At 40.1% G+C, this 19,574-nt stretch overlaps 1 protein-coding gene and 2 pseudogenes across 2 annotated transcripts in view; 1 reads left to right on the top strand and 2 right to left on the bottom strand.

Moving 5' to 3' along the window:
* RGPD2 (RANBP2 like and GRIP domain containing 2) overlaps window positions 1-19,574 on the top strand; it is a 233,859-nt gene that overhangs the window by 10,443 nt on the left and 203,842 nt on the right. The gene's annotated exons all lie outside the window — the stretch shown is intronic.
* On the bottom strand, window positions 5,686-6,875 carry WBP1P2 (WBP1 pseudogene 2; annotated as a pseudogene).
* Window positions 10,346-10,787, bottom strand: NDUFB4P7 (NADH:ubiquinone oxidoreductase subunit B4 pseudogene 7; annotated as a pseudogene).

Raw genomic sequence — 19,574 nt, 5'->3', positions numbered from 1 at the left:
TAGTTTGTTTATCCATCCTTCTTCTGCTGGTAGATATCTAGGCTATTTCCATTTTTTTTTTTTAAGTCATGAATAAAGCAAGCTACTGCCAAAATTCACTGGCAAGTCTTTGTGGATATATATTTTCTTTTTTTGGGGGAGGGGGACAGAGTCTTGCTGTGTCATCCAGGCTGGAGTGCAGTGGCACGATCTCGGCTCACTGCAACCTCTGACTCCCGAGTTCAGGCAGTTCTCATGCCTCAGCCTCCCCAGTAGCTAGAATTACAGGTATGCGCCACCATGCCTGGCTAATTTTTGTATTTTTAGTAGAGACTGGATTTTGCCATGTTGGCCAGCCTGGTCTCAAACTCCTGGCCTCAATAATCCGCCCATGTTGACCTCCCAAAGTGCTGAGATTACAGGTGTGAGCCACCATGCCCGGCCCGTGGACATACATTTTCATTTCTTTTTTTTTTTTAAGAGACGGGGTGTCACTTTTTGCCTACGCCGGACTGCAGTGATGCTATCGTAGTTGGCTGTAATCTCGAACTCATAGGCTCAAGCCATCCTCCTACCTCAGCCTCCAAGTGGCTAGGATTACTGGTATGCTTCATCATGCCTGGCTAATTTTTAAATTTTTTTGGCAGAGACAAGGTCTTACTATAATATGTTGCCCAGGCTGGTCTCAAACTCCTGGGCTCAAGCAGTCCTCCTGCCCCTATCTCCCAAAGTGCTTCGATTACAGGCATGAATTTTAATTTCTTTTAATTTAATTTAATTTCTTTTAAATTAAAATTCACATCTGTAATTTTAATTTCTTTTAATTTAATTTCTTTTAAATGAAAATTCACGCCTGTAATCACAGCACTTTGAGGGGTAGGGGCAGGAGGACTGCTTCAGCCCAGGAGACCAGCCTGGGCAACATATTATATAGTAAGACCAGTTGTCTACCAAAAAAATTTGAAAATTAGCCAGGCATGATGGCGCATAACCTGTAGTCCTAGCTACTTGGAGGCTGAGGTTGGAGGATGTTAAACACTCTTTCATGTGCTCATTAGCTGCTTATGTATATTTTTGTGAAGTTTCTGTTCAAATCTTTATCAACTTGTAAATTAGATTTTAAAAAATATGTAAGCTGGTGAAGTTCTTACATGTTCTAGACGTGAGTTCTTGACCATATTTTCCCTTAGAATGTGGCTTTAACAGTGTCTTTGATGAGCAGAATTTTTTATTTTAGTTATCCAATGTATCAGTTTTTTATTTTATTTTATTTTATTTTTGAGATGGAGTCTTGCTCTGTTGCCCAGGCTGTAGTGCAGTGGCATGATCTCAGCTCACTGCAAGCTCCACCTCCCAGGTTCACACCATTCTCCTGCCTCAGCCTCCCGAGTAGCTGGGATTACAGGCACCCGCCACCACACCTGGCTAATTTTTTGTATTTTTAGTAGAGACCACGTTTCACCATGTTGGACAGGCTGGTCTTGAACTCCTAACCTCAAGTGATCCACCAGCCTTGGCCTCCCAAAGTTTTGGGATTACAGGCGTGAGCCACTGTGCCCAGCCAAGGATATTCTTTTTATAACATTTTCAAAAATTAAGGCATATTGTGTATACAGGAAAAAAAATGAAGCCTATGATTTATATTTACAATTGCTTTGATTTAATACAAATTAAAATATTACTGTTTATGAGAATGAGATTCTAAATGTAAATGGAATTCACAGAATGCATAATTTTTTTCTCGTTTAAAGAAATAGAGTCTCGCTGTATGCCTAGGCTGGTCTCGAACTCCTGGGCTCCAGCCATCCTCCCATTTCAGCCTCCCAGAGTGTTGGGATTACAGGCATGAGCCACCACGCCTGGCCTTGTACATGTTATATAGTGACCATTTTGCACAAGATTGTTTGCCAGATGAATAATTAAAAAAATCCATTTAGTGTACTTTCCTTTAAATATTTTCACACCTGGAGTTAAAACATTGTATTTTATAAAATGTTATTAATATAAAAATACTTGTAAATAAACTTGTGGCTATGTAGAATGTAGTAGAGGACTTTTGCATAAGCCCAGAGCCTAGTTTCTAAAGGTCTTTAGCAATATATAATAGACATAGAGGGGAAAGAGTTGGGGGAAATCAGAGGGAGGTATAATTCTGGTCTCTCGTCGTTCAGTTCTTTTTCATTCAGTTCTCTCAGGCACGACTCCAGCCACTTAGTTTTATATTTCAACTGGATGTTGACCCAATTAAAACAATTCACAGCTCCTGAAGATGAAATACTATGAGTCCCTGCTTTGGACACATCTGTAGTAGAGTAGGAAAAGATAAATATAACCCAAGTAATTGTTACAGAATCTTCTGAAATATACAAATGGTAAAAGGTTTTGTAGGGCGTGTACTGGGGAAAAAGATAATTTTTCAACATGAACCTTTTAAGAGCTTGTGAGTCTCAAAGAGTCTTTAATTGATAGGTGATATGGATAATACTCCCCTTTGGGAGGAGGTTTATAATACATAAACAACCTCCCCACCCTTCCCTCGCAGCTTTCTGTCCTGTACTACAAGAACAACAAAACTCCAACTAGTCAGAATTGCAAGTGGTTTATGGCCCCCCATATAGATTGAAAACTTGCTAAGAGACTGCACTGGAGAACCTGAAAGGATGAGGATGGAAAAGATGATTATACTTTTCATTTGCAACAGGGCTTTCATTTGATTCTCACATTAATCCCATGTGGTAGTTAATTAAGGTAGCATTACAAGGTTCAGTGAATTGTCTGAGATCTCACAAATACAACCTAGATAAGAACCCAGGTATTATTATTTTCAGTCTTGCAATATTATTTTCCTACTTGCAATATTATCTTCACTCTTCATTAAGTTTGCACAGCAAAGTAATGGAATAAGTTCTGGGCTTTAATCCTTGAGTAGTTTGGAACTGTAATGTGTTACATTTGAGAGAGAGCCCTTCATTTTGAATAAAACCTTGGTACTGATCCTGATCTTCTAACTTGGGTTAATGCTCTTCCCCTTTTCATGATTTTTTTCATTTGTGAAATGAAGTAGTTGCACTAGATAATTTTCAATTTTCCTTCCCACTTAAATCAATTTTAATTAAAAAAATTGCAGATGCCTTTTCTCAGATTGGAGTACACTTTTTGCTCCACACAATATCTGGTGTGTAAATTGGTATGTTCCGTGGAGTAAATACCTTTCCTGACTAGCCATTAACTTACTTCTGATTCCTGAATCCACTAATTTAACTATTGTTGAAATTACTAAAGGAAATTTTTCTTTAGCAAATGTAAAAACTCATATCAGGTCTCAGGTTTGATGTTGTAAAGCACTCTGACTCTTAGGAAGACTCTTTTTTTCCCCCAACCTCTCATAAACAAATTATTTCATTCATTATAAAATTTCATTCATTACATTTTCATTCTTCAGACTTGCAGTGTTTCCTCTCTGCTAAGTATAGTGTTAAGCACTGGCAAAAGAACTCTGGACACAACATCATGAACTTGCTCTCTGGGATCTTATAATCTAGTTGCAGAAGCAGATTGGTAAATACATAGTATAGCACAAGTACTATAATGGAGGCCTGAACTGAGTGCTGTGGGGGTACACAGATGAAGGCTTCTGGGAGACATCATGGCATAACTAGACCTGGAGGATGAATAAAACTTTGGCCAAGTAAATACAGAGATACACGAAAAGCATGGATAAATGGCACAAGTAGGTTCAGGGATGATAAAAGTGTTAGTATGTGGAGAGTGTACAACTATTTTGGGGAATGGGGAAACAGATTAAATTTGGGGCCAGACCCCGAAGGATGTGGGGATCCCATCAAAGTCTTTTAAGCAGGAGAATGATCAGATGCATTTTTTGGTATACTACCTGGGGGATAGGAGGAAGTGGACTACAGAAGGGGAGATCAGTAGAAGGAAGACAAGTTAGGAAGCTTTTCAGTCATTTTCATTAAACATGAAGCTTAATACATATTGTTCTAAGATCAGGAATACAGCAATAAAGAAAAAAACTTGCTGTAATGAAACTTACATTTTCTTGGGAGAGACAGAAAATAAACATGAAAAACAGATGTGTTCAATGGTGATAAAGCAGAAAGGGAGATGGGGAGTCAAGTGCATGTGGGGAGGGTGTTTAGGGAAGCACTTATGAAAGAGTAACATTTGAGCAAAGAGCCCTGATACAAGACAACAATCCAGACCCAAGACATTTGAGGAAAGAGCATCCATATAAAGGGAGTGGGAGGTAGAGAAAGCCTGGACCAGGAATGAGCCTGGTATGATTGAGGAAAACACAAGGGATGTGGCCAGAGAATAATAAGAGAATAAATTAGAGGGGTAATAGGCAATTGTATAGGGCCTTGTAAGCCATTGTGTGGACCTTGGATTTCACTCTTGAGTGACCTGGGAGCTAATGGGGGATTAAACAGAGGAGGGACAGGATCCTCTATGGTATATGGTAAATGAGTAGTATGGTAAATGAGGTAAATGAATAGTAAAAGGAACTGCTGTGGTAATTTAGGTAACAGATGATGATGGTTTAGGTGAAAATGGTTGGATTGTGGATATGGTTTGATTGGTGTTAGAACCAGTAGGATTTAGTGGTGGCTGGATGTGGACAATGAGAGAATAGAATGAACCAAAGCTATTGTAAACGTCTAGAAATCAGATGAGGACTTGACCAAAGGCATTGGCAATGAGAAAGTAGACAGGCACCATTCATGAGGTATTTCTTAGCATTGATAGAGTTGGATATAAATATCTGGAATTTTTAGCTGATTGAAATGTTAGTTGAAATGAATGATACCACTCAAGGTATGTGTGTCAAGAGGTATGGAGAAGAGCACAGAAGTTTTTGTAAACCAAGGGAGGAGAAAAGAAGGGATAGTCACAGAGCAGTAAAGAAAAATAAAGGTTAAAAATAGGTCACAGGATGTACATTATCCTAAGTTAAAATATTTTAAGGTTTGAATGAAAGGGTGCTGCAGGGTTTGCAAACTGGTGGGCTTCAGGCCTAAAATCTGCCTATACTGTTGTTTTTGCCTGACAGAATATCTTAAAATATCTGTATTTGAAAGCATTTAAGGCTTGACTTGTGCTCTACGCTCCACAGTCTTATCGTTCATAGTTTCTTGGCAAACTCACCACTCAAGCTGTGCCTCACTTATTTAGGAGATCTGCCTCACTAGGGTAGACATTTTAGGTTTATGACTCTTAAGTTTTCACCTGGACAGATTGGCTAACAAAAAGAACCTCACAGGTGGGTGACCTTGAATTCACCAGGTCATGCCATCAGTTCAGAGCGGCCGGAGAACTCTGTTCTCTTGTGCATTGATGCCCCCGGAGTTGTGAAACACAGTGACCCTGCTTCAGTTTTTTAGATTTAGAAACTGATCAGTGTCAGAGCGATCAGACACAGGAATGTTAATTCATGTTCAAAAATAATAACCAGGCTAGCATTTGTTTAGCACTTGCTATGTGACACGTACTGTTTTAAGTGCTTTACATGAATTGTTTAATCCTCACAACAACCCTGGGAAATAGGTCCTATTATTAGGCGCCCTTTCTACAGATGAGGAAACAGACAACAGATTGGTAAATTTCCCAAGATCACAAAGTAAGTCAGTAGGAACTCAAAGTAACCTGACTCCAGAGCCCACACTCTTTTTTTTTTTTTTTTTTAGCTGGTTCACGTCTCTTTAATGAGATCAAAGGCTCCTGTGTATGTCTTGCGGGGGTAAAGCTAGCACAGTCCCCCAATACTGCCCCTCTCCTCAGGGCTCCAGCCCTTTCAGGCAGATTCTAGGTAGGCAGGGAGGGGCCAAAAGGAACGCAAGGAGTTGGGACTAGGGCTGTTTCTGGTGGGCAAGTAACCCATCCACCCTCTCAAAACTACGTATGGGATGTCCCCTTCACTGGAAGACAGCCCCATGGGAAAGACCTGCGGTACAGAATCTGGGGGCAGTGCACACGGGGAGTAGTCCTCCAGATCTGGCAGGGTGGCACTAACCCTCACCTCCTTGACTGGCTCACCCTCACCGGAGGCAGGACAAGGGCAGAGCTTAATACCGGAGTCGCCAGTTAAACGGCGATAGCGGCAGGAGGGGGGTGTGGGGGCAGGGGTCACCCCTGCCCCAGGCTCACCCTCCTGATGAGGGAGGGCACTCTGGTGGGAGGAAACACCTTCCACATTTGTTCCTTCAAAATGGGCAGGGCAGCTGGATGAGGAGGAACAGCAGGTTTGTTCACTGGAAGCAGTCAAGGGGCGGCCTGGGGCGACAGTATAAGGCGCGGAGGCGGGGGGCGGGGGGTGGTGCCTGGGCGGTGAACCACATCCTCGTAGGCTGGGGGCTTGAAGGTGCTGAGGAGGCGAAGGTCAAGCAGTGAACCGGTAGGGAAAGGACCAGCCCCATGGCATGCCCCATGATAGGCCAACAAGTTGATTTCACGCTGCCGCTGCTGTTGTTGCAGCCTGAGTTTAGCTCGTCGGTGGCGGAAGGCCCAACAGCAGCTAAAGAGGATGAGGACAGTCCAGAGCAGCCAGAACCACCAGAGCTCATAGTAGTAGGTGCAGCAGCCAGTCTCCCTGCAGCAGTGACCACTCTCACAGAGGTAGGGCTGGTTGTTCACTCCTGGGCACAGCTCTCGAAGCTGCTGTTGCGGCGCCCGAAGTGCCCCCCAGGCCTCCTCGCTGCCGTTCCCGCTGCTGGCCCGAGCCATACCTCCACCTACAGCCCCCTGAGGACCACAGCCTCCTCTACCGCCAGCCGCCCCGCCCCTGCCACCTCTGCTGCCACTGCCATGGTCCCTGCCCGGCCCATCTTCGCTGAGGCCACCATCACTCCGCGGCCGGAGCTTCCATCCCCAGAGCCCACATTCTTATCTGAGCATATACATCCCCATCACAAGAGAACGCCAGTTTATTCAAGTAAAATAAGGACTAGAAATTTACATCAGGGAATGTATTCTTTCACTGTAGAATGCTGAATGGAAAACCAAATTTCAATAGTTGCCTACTGAACAAGATCATGAGATAACAACAAGGGAGTTGATTATAAATGACTAGAAGTTTTAAATGGCATCGACTCTGATAAAGTGATAATCTCAGCTCCATGATATACTCGTCAAGCAGTTACTTACATCAATCTGCCTTATAGGATATCCTTTCTCCTGGTTAATGCTTATGTGATAGTGTTTTGTACCTTTCCTTTTTCACTGCTTTCATTGCTGACCAAACTACTCACCTCCATATTTCTGGTAGATATATTTCTTTTCATTGCATGTTAGTATCTTAAATTTAGTCCTATCTTTTACTTGATCCTCCGTGCTTGACTTCCTAATCTATGTTCTGGTTTATGTTTTAGTTTTACAGTTGAGCTTTCTGAGGACATTCTTATTCCCAGTATCTTTTTTTGGGTGGTTGGGTTCTGGGAGGTGGTATTTGACTGCTGCTGATGTGTACCAACCAAGACAGTAGTCATTAAGTGACTAACAATAATGATTTCAGCAGATTATTATTACTCTTGGCAAAGAGCAAGCTTTCTCTATTGTAAATGATTTTATATTTGTTTTGTTTTTCTTTATTTGTAATTTGAGTTCTAGCTTAACATTATTACTTCAGATAACTGTTAATACATTTTCATAAATCATACTCACATTCTTGAATGGCAAATAAATAAATAATCAAGTTCCAAGTAGTTTCTAAAGAGAGTAAACATTAAAAGTAAACATAAAACTACATAAAAATCGATCACAGTCTATTCATAAAGTTGGTATGAAAATAAAGATCCTAGATTTGGAACCCTCATGATACTCAATATTTTACATATATCAGAGTTTGTAATTTCCATAACTTCATTTGGTAGTTAGACATATAGACAGAGAAGATAATAATATATTCATTATATATATATTTATATATAATATTCATATTATATATATATGTCTATAACATTTAGACAGAGAAGATAATAATATATTCATTTTATAGTTTAGGAAACAGACTTGGAAGGGCAAATAACTTGTCTAAGATGACTAAGCAGCTGAGTGAGAACCACAGCCTATCTGTGGCATTCAGTTTCAGCCATCTTTCCCTTGCTTCATAAGGATAGTTACTCTGGTATCAGTTGCTGGATTGGGATTTTGGGCATTTATAAATGTTTTTATTTTGGATATTACTGAATCACAGACAATTTCATCTTAGTTAATTAAAAATTCATCTTACGTGACACTTGTCTAAATCTTAAAATATTAAAATTTTAATGTATAAGGATGTTAATAATCTTTATATTTTAAGAGACTATGAAGTCAAGTCTAGCTAACTTAGATCTGTAAGTTTTTAGCTATGGAAAGCAATTCTATTGTGTACAAGTTTCAGCCTGTGAAGGGAATTCATTGAAAATGTATAGAGATCAGAAGAACTAACACCTTTCTTGCATGGATTTTTCTTGATTATTGGCAGTTAACAATAAAATGTTATTAGATCACTGGTGCTTCTGTGTGGGGTTGAGTTTTTTATGATATCTTCTGTTAGACCCATAAGGGAGGCTGTGAGTTGTTTTCTACATCCTTGGAATATATAAGATCCTCTTTTAAAATTATATTTTATATAAGCACATGAAAATGGAATGAAATAATGAATTGACATAGGAATTACCTACATATTTTGGCTGTACATTTAGTGCACAAAATATCCCTTTTTTGAATGCCAAATGGCCAAGTGTGAAAACCAATATTTGTTAAAGCTGGAGCAGAAGTCGGTATCATCATCATAGAGTAAACTTCTGGCATATGTGAAGATATGAAATGTTATCCCTGAAGTTATTATAATTTATTCTCAGAAATATTAGTAATCTTATTTTAAGAGTAGGACATTATAGTGCAGTAATGATAATTTTCTCAGTGCTGCCTGTTGCTAGATTGTTTCTATGATTGCTGTCATGCACATACAGACACTAAATTGAGGGTCACTTTCCACTGAAGTTAGTGGAATACAAAATAGGTGGAGGAACTTTCTTCCTCTAACGTCTTTATATGTGTCTGTGTTTATATATACGTGTATGTATATAAATATGTATACACATATATAATATCTGGAGCAAAAATGATTATGTTGTAAGAACTTTTGGAGGTTTTCCTCCTCATAAAATTCCGAAGTGGTAGAGTTAACATTCTGCTTTTAATTTATCTACAAAAACATGTGAAGAATCCCCAAATAAGATTTTCTCATAGAAGATTCATGGATTTTGAGTCTCAGAAAAAAAAGGAAGAAAAAAACTTCATGGTATAAAACAACTAAAAATTAAACATAGTCTTTAGAAATGATTTTGTTTAGTATAATTAATACTGGTATGACAACTGAATGCAATTGAAATTATGATATAAAATTTCTATTCTGCTTTGTATTTTTCATTAAAGTTTTTATAATTGTCATCTGAAAAAGGATTTAATATTCTTAAATTCATTAGCTAACTCTCTCAATATTATTACACTATTATTTGCCTATTTGAAAATTGTTACTTTCTTTCGTACATAAATAGCATTCATAATCATTGTGACATTTTCTTCTTGCATTAATGTACATTTATACTTCATCTAATTGAGAAAATTTTAACATACAAAGTGACACAAAAAGATTTTCATTCCAAGTTTTATGTAAAACACCTAAAATTGGAAAATGAATATTCAGATACTAAGAGTAAATTTTTTTTTTTTTTTTGAGACGGCATCTAACTCTGTCACCCAGGCTGGAGTGCAGCGGTGGGATCTTGGCTCACTGTAACCTCTGCCTCCCGGGTTCAAATTATTCCCCTGCCTCAGCCTCCTGAGTAGCTGGGACTACAGGCCCACAACGCCATGCCCGGCTAATTTTTGTATTTTTTGGTAGAGACGGGGTCTCACCATGTTGGCCAGGCTGGTCTCAAACTCCCAATCTCAAGGGATCTGCTGGCCTCAGTCTCCCAAAGTGCTGGAATTACAGGCGTGAGCCACTGCACCTATATGACATACTTGAAAAAATATTCTTGGGCCGGGTGTGGTGGCTCACGCCTGTAATCTCAGCACTGTGGAAGGTCGAGGGTGGATCACCTGAGGTCAGTAGTTCAAGACCAGCCTGGCTAACATGGTGAAACCCCATCTCTACTAAAAATACAAAAATTAGCTGGGTGTGGTCGCATGCGCCTGTAATCCCAGCTACTTGGCAGGCTGAGGCAGGAGAACTGCTTGAATCCAGGAGGCGGAGGCTGCAGTGAGCAGATTGCACCACTGCACTCCAGCCTGGGAGACAGAGCGAGTCTCTGTCTCAAAAAAAAAAAAAAAATTCTCACTTTCTGTTGTTGTTGTTTGTTTAATGATTAATAGACGATTTATTTAAGCAAGAATACATAGTCATCATTGCCAGACTTAATATGACAGGTTAAATGTTGGACCCAATTTTCCTTCCCAGATAAGTTTTTCTTTCCTATCCCTGTCAGTTTTGAAAACATAATACCAGAAGAAGAGGGGCCCAATTCCACACAGAGCTCCCAAGAGTGAGTTTTTAGGAGTGGGTCTGAAATTAGGAAAGACACTTGCTGATCTTGCATAGGTCCAAGGAATCAAGGCAGGATTTTCGATGAGCCCTCGGCAGTTAGGGTAAGCAGGTTTCAGCCAGGCTCTTAATGGTCAATCACTTGGCTTGCGCCCGCTGGGTTTCCGAAGACATGTCCTATTCGGCTGGTTTGAGGGCATAGTGGCCAGGGGTGAAGGAGTATACTTTGGGAACGACATCTTGGCGACCCAGTGCACAACTCACTTTTTTTTGGAAACGAGGTTGGCTCTGTCGTCCAGACTGGAGTGCAGTGGCGCAATCTCGGCGCACTGCAACCTCCGCCTCCCGAGTTCGGGCGATTGTCCTGCCTCAGCCTCCCAAGTAGCTGGGACTACGGGCGCACACCACCACGCCCGGCTAAATTTTGCATTTTTGGTAGAGACGGGGTTTTGCCATGTTGCCCAGGCTAGTTTTGAGCTCCTGGGCTCAAGCGATCTGCCCGCTTTGGCCTTCCAAAGTGCTGGGCTTACAGGCATGACACTGTGCCTGGCCAGATTTTTGTTACCCTGTTTAGATATGATGGTAACTGAATGATCATGCAATCTCTGACCATGTGACATTCAGGGATACCAAAAATGACTTGAGATGGGCCAAGGCAGAATTGGAGAAGCATACTTTGGCTGAATACTTAGGCCAAAGTATAATTTGGAACATTTCTTTTAAAAAATCTACTCCCCTATGCCTCCCAGTTGCAGTACCTTACAATTACAGTTAATCTAGTAGCAGATACTTGATTGGGATATTAGGTATTTACAGACCAAATGCCCATTGGGATATTACTCGGTAACAGGCAGTTTCACTCTGGTTCATTGTAGATTCATCCAGTAAGCATTTCTAGAGAACTGCTATATGAAAATATTGTGGAAAGTATCAACTTTTTAAACTTTTGATGTCATGACACCTAGAAGATTATTTTCTGATACTCATATTCTAAGGGAATTTTATTTTCTGAGATTTGTTTCTGTGGAATTTCTAGTTCCCCAGTCTGCACTGAAAGCCTAAATCAAGAGGATAATTTGAAAGGTAATGAAAGTAAATCAATTCTAGCTTAGATACCCAAGAGAGTAAATGAAATATAAAAATAATAACTTTTAAAATGTCTCAAAAAAAAGCTATGGTAAGCTAATTCTGTTTGGTTTATTCATGCAATAGTCTGTCTCTGCTTATGACATAAAGTATAATATATTTTAGGAATAGTGTGGTTTTCTTCATGATGTCAAACATACAAGCTTATGGATATATTTAAAAATTCTTAATTTTCTAGATTAATGTTCAGTACTACTTCTTCCATCTTGCATTGGATGGGGGCAGATAATTAATAATTATCAGATATTTTCTTATCAAAAACAAATTTGTTGGAAAAAAAATTTTTTTTTTTTGAGATGGAGTCTCGTTCTGTCACCCAGGCTGGAGGTGCAGTGGCGCAATCTCGGCTCACTGCAAGCTCCACCTCCCGGGTTCACACTGTTGTCCTGCCTCAGCCTCCCACGTAGCTAGGACTACAGGCGCATGCCACCATGCCCAGCTAATTTTTTTGTATTTTTAGTAGAGACGGGGTTTCACTGTGTTAGCCAGGATGCTCTAGATCTCCTGACCTCATGATCTGCCTGCCTTGGCCTCCCAAAGTGCGGGGATTACAGGCATGAGCCACCGCACCAGGCCTCAATAAAATATTTTATAAATACCTTTAAGGAATAATACAAACACAACCAGAGCTTAAATAAATAAATGTAAATCAATCTGCTTGCTGGTTAAGTAATGAGTTCAGTGTTTCCGCACAGAAAGTGGGAGAGATAGATGAAGAAGAAAATAAAGCTTATTACATGTTGGGAAGGATTCTAGGCACTAAGTTCCTTTTTTTGAGACAGAGTCTCATTCTGTCGCCCAGGCCGGACTGCAGTGGCTCCATCTTAGCTCACTGCAACCTTTGCCTCCCAGGTTCAAGAGATTCTCCTGCCTCAGCCTCCCAAGTAGTTGGGACTACAGGCACCTGCCACCATGCCTGGCTAATTTTTGTATTTTTAGTAGAGATACGGGTTCACCATTTTGACCAGGTTGGTCTCGAACTCCTGACCTGAAGCGATCTGCCCACCTTGGCCTCCGAAGTGCTGCGATTACAGGCGTGAGCCACTGTGCTTGGCCAGTTCTAGGCATTAAGTTCTAATTGGTTCATTTGGGGACTCGAAATTCTCCATTTTATTTTATTTTATTTTATTTTATTTTTTCTGCTTTTGTCACAAAAGCACAGACATTGCTTAACAAAGAGGTCTGAGACAGGATATGAATGTTAAGCTCAGGGACATAGGGTCAACACTTTTGAGTGCACAGACTGGGAACCTGGCAGAGTTTTAACAATCCCCTCCCCTATTTTCACCATCCCTTAGTCCTGTAGAAGTAGAGCAGATGATTACGTATTCACTGCTGTATGGCTTATTACCTTTGTAGGAATTCTAACTGAAGGGCTTGGCATTTGGCCTGACTGAATATCAGAATCCCTTTATTTTTCGTTCCATTGCAAAATAATTTTTTGTGCCATCAGTGAAATAACAGCTATGCAGTGGCATATACAGCTCTGGAGACCAGGCATTAGAAGACTGTGAGACAAGAATAACCAGAATGATGATAAGGAGACACTGGAAGTCACTTTAGATTGATGACCAAAGATTTCCTTATTCTGACCAGGAGGTCAGATCTCAAAGGTCCTTCTGAGTCCACTTTTGATTAGCCAAATTGTCTTTTCTTTCAGTTTGACTATAGGTTAGTCAACCTTCCCTCCACATTCATCAGGGACTGTTAGCAATATGTCATATTTTTTTCTTGGTGTACCATTAAGCAATCTAAAGCTATGCTGTTACCTGTAACCACTTGGATTAATTATTTTAGATTAGTTGGTTATACTTCTAGGGCTTTATGGCTTTATCTTTTCAGTCAGCATTATTAACCAAGTTTTGATAGCTTTTTCAACTTTTGTAACCCCCATCCAGGGAGATCAGTGTCCTCTCAGACACTTCCAGGTAAGCATGATCTCCTGGAAGACATGAGAAGTCTCTTAAATTGTCTAATTATTACATTGGAGCTACATAATAACTCCAATATACCTGGAGTTATTATGTGTATATGCAAGTTAGGTTCTAATGAGGCAAATATAAGTAAATATGTTGTTGATTCAGGAGGTAAAAATTAGGAGAGCCACGTGTAGTTTTAAAAACAAAAGAGGAATTACTTGTAACAAAAGTAAGTAAGAAAGGAATTCTCAGTTATCTCTTGGGTAGAGATACCTTGCATAGAGTTCAGCAAAAATTGCAAAGGTTGTCATAGGACTATGGAGGCCATTAGGCTAATTAAAATTTATAATATTGCCCATATATTTGTACTAAGTCTCATTCCTGAAGGATTTTATATTTGGGTTGAGGCTTTGAGAAATTCTAAGACTGGCTTGGGCAGTAAAACAAACCAAGTAAAAATTGCCATGGCTGTAAATAGTCAAAAAGGGGTAAGCTAAGTTTCTGCAAACTAAACAATTTCAGAGGGTGTAAGAATGTATTGGATAAAGGATGAAGATAAAAAGCACTTTGGAGACTATTGATACTCATCAGATTTTACCACTGATAATTTTTCAAGAGGAACTGTTTATGAAACTATAAAGAGAAAATGGAGATACAAAAAGCCATCCAAGATGTAAATGCCGAAGGCCAAGTTTTGAGATAAACAGAAAATCACAAAAACTCATGTCAGGTGGTTCTTCCATGGCCCCAGTGTGAGCAGACAGTATTTTCCTTGAGGAGAAATACTAGTTTGGTGGGGGTAAGGTAGGGAGTTAGTTTAAGGATTAATCAAGAGAACTATACATATGCTATTTAGGTTGAGGGTAAAGATCAGAGTAGGCATGGGCAACACCTAGACTCAATCAAGTTACCTATCAAGCAAGCTGACATATTCAGACAAAGCAAGACTCCATCTCAAAAAGAAAAATAAATAAATAAAAAGAATTCCTTCATTATTTTGTCATGCTTTAAGGCCCAGGACAGGCCTAGGCAAAAGTTTTGATGGCCTTTTGTTACATCCCAGCCTTTGTATAAGGGCACTGGCTTTTAGTATTTAACTTCATTCAGTCATTACTGAAACAGTTGTTATGGAAGTCTGCATTAGTGAGACCTGGCCTGCCACAGGAGGTTGCAGTGAGCTGAGATCGTGCCACTGTACTCCAGCCTGGGCGGCAGTGTGAGACTCTGTCTCAAAAAAGAAAAATGATGCAGAAAGATTTGTTTGACACAGAGTGGGCATAAACTTTCAATTTGTCAAAAACATAGTATCTGTGAAGTACAATAAAATGTAGTGCAATAAAATGAGGTATGCTTGGATAGCAAAACATCATGTTGTACCTAGTAAAGGTATACAATTTTTATTTGTGAATTATACCTCAGTAAAGCTGGACAAATGAACTGTATTTGCAACATGGTAGGAATATATGACATTGGACATTAATGCAAATGGAATTTTCAGTGCCATGGTGAAAATGTTATACCACTGAACAAAAAAAAAGTAGTGTGAAATGAAGTAAAATGTGAAAATCCCTAATAAATGCAGAAATATGAACTGCTTATCCAAAAGAGAAAAGTCTTTTGAGTTCCTCAAGAAGATTCTCTCTTTGGATGCTGGGCGCGGTGGATGCCGGGCACCTGTATCCGAGCACTTTGGGAGGCTAAGATGGTTCACTGGAGGCCAGGAGTTCAAGACCAGCCTGTCCAACATGGTGAAACCCCGTCTCTACTAAAAATACAACAATTAGCCAGGTGTGATGGCACGTACCTGTAATCCCAGCTACTCGGGAGGCTGAGGCACAAGAATTGCTTGAACCTGGGAGGCAGAGGTTGCAATGAGCCGAGATTGCGCCACTGGAGTCCAGCCTGGACCACAGAGTGAAACTCCGTCTCAAAAAAAAAAAAAAAAGAAAGAAAGAAAGAAAAGAAGGTTCTCTCTTTGGGCACTCCTTTTCAACATATTCAGCATAAATGAATTAATGATACCATTTTTACTAGGTGAGTGTGTTTGGGCAAGTTGCTTCAGTGCTCATTCTCTTGGTTTCCTTTTTTTTTTTTTTTTTTTTTGAGACAGGGTCTTTCTCTGTCACCTAAGCTGGAGTGCAGTGGAGTGAACATAGCTCACTGCAGCCTCCAACACCTAGCCTCAAGAGATCCTCCTGCTTCAGTCTCCCAAATAGCTGGGACTACTGGCATGTACCACCATGCCTGGCTAGTTTTTAATTTCTCTTTTTTTGTAAGCACAGGGTGTTGCTATGTTGCCCAGGATGGTCTTGAACTACTGGGCTCAAGTGATCCTCCCACCTCAGCCTCCCAAAGTTTTGGATTACAGGCATGAGCCATGGTACCTGGCTGTCTTTTGCTTTCCTTATCTGTAAAAACTGAGGATAATAACAGTACCCTTACAAAGTTGGTGGAAGAATGATATTAGTTAATACAAATGAAGTGCTAACAAAAAGAGCTTTGGAACACAGCAAGTACTTGTTAGGTATGGCTATTGTCATCAACACACTTTTCAAGGCAAACTTGTGGTTTCACCTATCACCTGAGATATATGACTTCTAAGTCCATCAGATCTTCTCTTTTGGTTTTTATTTTTAAATTAATTAAATATTATTATTCTTATTATTTGAGACAGAGTCTGCTCTGTCACCCAGGCTGGAGTGCACTGGCACGATCCCAGCTCACTGCAACCTCCACCTCCCACGTTCAAGCAATTCTGGTGCCTCAGCCATCCAAAGAAGCTGGGATTACAGGCGTGCACCACCATACCCAGTTAATTTTTGCATTTTTAGTAGAGATAGGGTTTCACCATGTTGGCCAGGCTGGTCTTGAACTCCTGGCCTCAAGCAATCCACCCATCTGGGCCTCCCAGTGTGCTGGGATTACAGGCGTGAGCCATCGTGCCTGGCCCTCTTTTCATTTTAGAGATAGGAATCTCATTCTCTTCCAGAGGCTGGAGTGCAAAGGCATGAACATAACTCATTGCAGTCTCCAACTCCTGGGCTAAAGGGATGTTTCCCCCTCTGCCTTTGGAGTAGCTGGGCCTCAGAACTGTGCCACAACTACTGGCTTCCATCAAGATCTCTGTCCTACCATTTCATCTTCCTACTAGGCTATCCCCACATGGATAGATAAATGGTACCTCAAGTGAAAGAAATCAACTACCTAAAATAGGATTTTCCACTCCAAACTAGATTTTCTTTACATGTCATTTCTGTTAATGTGGGTCACACACACTGGTAAGCTCAGAATCATCTTTTTCTTTTCTTTTATTCACATCCAATATGGTTGAAATAAAACAAAATGCTGTTTTTCCTTTTTTAGAAAGGCAATACTTGTTCATTATATCAAAATTTAGAAAATATGGAAAAACAAAAAGGATAAAAAATTATCCACAACCAAAATAGCCCAAATTTCCAGTTAAAAATATCAACGCATTTGATATTTGTCCACATAAGACTGTAATGTTTACACAAATGTGAGCTTTTAAAATCTAAAAGGCTCTCACTATTAAAAATGTTTTGTTAAATTTTGTTTTAAAAGTAAGATTTTAATATCCAAATTCCCAAAATAGACATTTTTGAAGATTTGGAAAATACAGACGGCTGAAAATCTTTACATTATTACTGTTAAATTTTGGTATGTTCTGTTATTCTGCTAGTGAAATATATATAGATTTGGGGGGCTATTCCTTTTCCTTTTTTTTTTTTTTTTTTGAGACAAGTGTCTCACTCTGGTGCCCAGGATGGAATGCAGTGGCGCTATCACAGTTCATTGTAACCTGGAACTCTTGGGATCCTCCCGCCTCGACCTCCCAAAGTGCTGGGGCTACCGGCTTGAGCCACTGTGCCAGGCGAATGGCTGTTCCTATATACACAGTTGACCCTTGAATAACATGGGTTTGAACTGCCTGGGTCCACTTATAAGCCGACAGAAAATACAGTATTGGAGGGGCCTGCATATAGAGAGGTCTGACTTTTCCTCTAAGTGTTCCACCCGCAGGACTGACTGCGGGATTTGAGAATGCGCTTTTTTTTTTTTTTTTTTAGGAAGTCTTACTCTCGCCCAGGCTTGAGTGCAGTGGCGCGATCTCAGCTCACTGCAACCCTCGCCTCTCAGTTTCAAGCGATTCTCGTGCCTCAGCCTCCCGAGTAGCTGGGATTACAGGGGCCCACCTCCACGCCCGGGTAATTTTTTGTATTTTTAGTAGAGATGGGCTTTCGCCATGTTGGCCAGGCTGGTCTCCAACTCATGACCTCAGGTGATCCGCCCGCCTCGGCCTCCCAAAGTGTTGGGATTACAGGCGTGAGCCACGGCGCCCGGCGGGCAAGACACCCTCAGAGCACAGGGTGCTGCCAAGAGCCCGGCCGAGTGCAGCTCGAGCGCCGACGTCGCCAAGGATACACAGTGCTGACGCAGTACACAAGTGCGTCACAGTGGTCCTCCGCCGGCTACGTCAGTGGCTTTCAGGCGCTTTCCTCTTGGAATTTATAAGTTAATCTTCCATTTTTTTAAATTAACTTTGTTTGGCATGGCTATAGGGCTCAGTAATAATTGTGTGCACTTTTATCAGTAGGATAGTTTTCTCTAGAACATTTTCAATGTTTGTTTCTATATGAGATGGTATTAACTCAGGTTGTAAAAGAAATAGTATAAACCTAGAATACCATAGTATTTTTTCAATTGTATTTCAGTTACGCCTGGTAACTCTGAGGTATCTGTTTAGGCTGTCCTTGAATAAGGAGGCTCTACCTCAGCACACTCACAATATAGTGAGGGCCAATGTCTGATCTTCACTTCTATTTCTTGAGGATAACATATATAGTCTTAGATGGGTAGAAGAAAGGAGATAATTTGGGAATGGGAGCATGGAAATAGGTTACATTCAATTACTGGCATATGGACTTTGAAGACCCAGGTAAAGATCCAAATATGTAGTTAAGGCCACAGGACTTGAGCCTACACAAGCTTTTGAAGCTTGAAACAAAGGAGGGGAATGTATGCTTTAATTTATAATGCAATTTAATTTCATCATTTCTGTTTTTGACAAACTGGCTCTTATTTAATTACTAGCTAACAAATTACAAGGCAAAGTTAAGCACACACACATACAAATCTGCTAAATCATAAAGCAGGAAAATATTTAATAATTTGTATCATTCAATAGCCAAATTTGTTTGCATGCTCATATTACTGTAGTCAAAACCAAAATCAACACTTTTTTCTGAAAACTATTGTTCTAAATTATTGAATTTATATTAAAGGCACATATAGCCTATCCAGGCCATGTCACCACTCACAGCTCTATCCTCCCTATTTTGAGTAATGATGCTTATGGGTATTCAGGGCAAAGGAGGTATGTCAAGAATATGTTTGGAATTATTGCATGAAGAGAATATTATCAAAACCCACTTAGAATAATGGAGAGATCAATTTCAAAAGCAGAAAGAGAGGGAAGAAATGAGTTCATACGGTACATCTGTATATCTTATAGAGAAGATCTGTAGAAAAATGGACTAATAATAATGGGCTGGTGAGGAAGACTGAATCATCTGATTCTATTGAATGGTTAAAAAAGAATATATAAAAAATAGAAACATAAAAACATCTGTGAGGGAGACAAACACGACTATGTTTAAAAGGCTCATGAATTGAGGTTTTGTTTCCTTGTATGCCCCCCAGCCCCCCCAAAAAGAAACTACAAAATATAATTTTCTTAAAAGCTTCAGAAAGTACAATTTTTAACAAGAACAGAAAACCTTTGTGACTATACAGGCCACAGCTGACACTGATCGCGTGTTTTGCAGCCAACCTGTAAGGATGTTAATAAGCTTTTAATACCTATGCTGCCATTTCTGAACACAATAAAAAAAAAGATGATGCTGATTGGTATACAATCAATCAACCCTGCTTGATATGGTTTAGGGAACATGTGTGAGTTT

This window comes from Homo sapiens, chromosome 2 (assembly GCF_000001405.40).
Source record: "Homo sapiens chromosome 2, GRCh38.p14 Primary Assembly".
Classification (NCBI taxonomy): Eukaryota; Metazoa; Chordata; class Mammalia; order Primates; family Hominidae; genus Homo; species Homo sapiens.
This window is presented reverse-complemented; position numbering and strand designations above follow the sequence as displayed.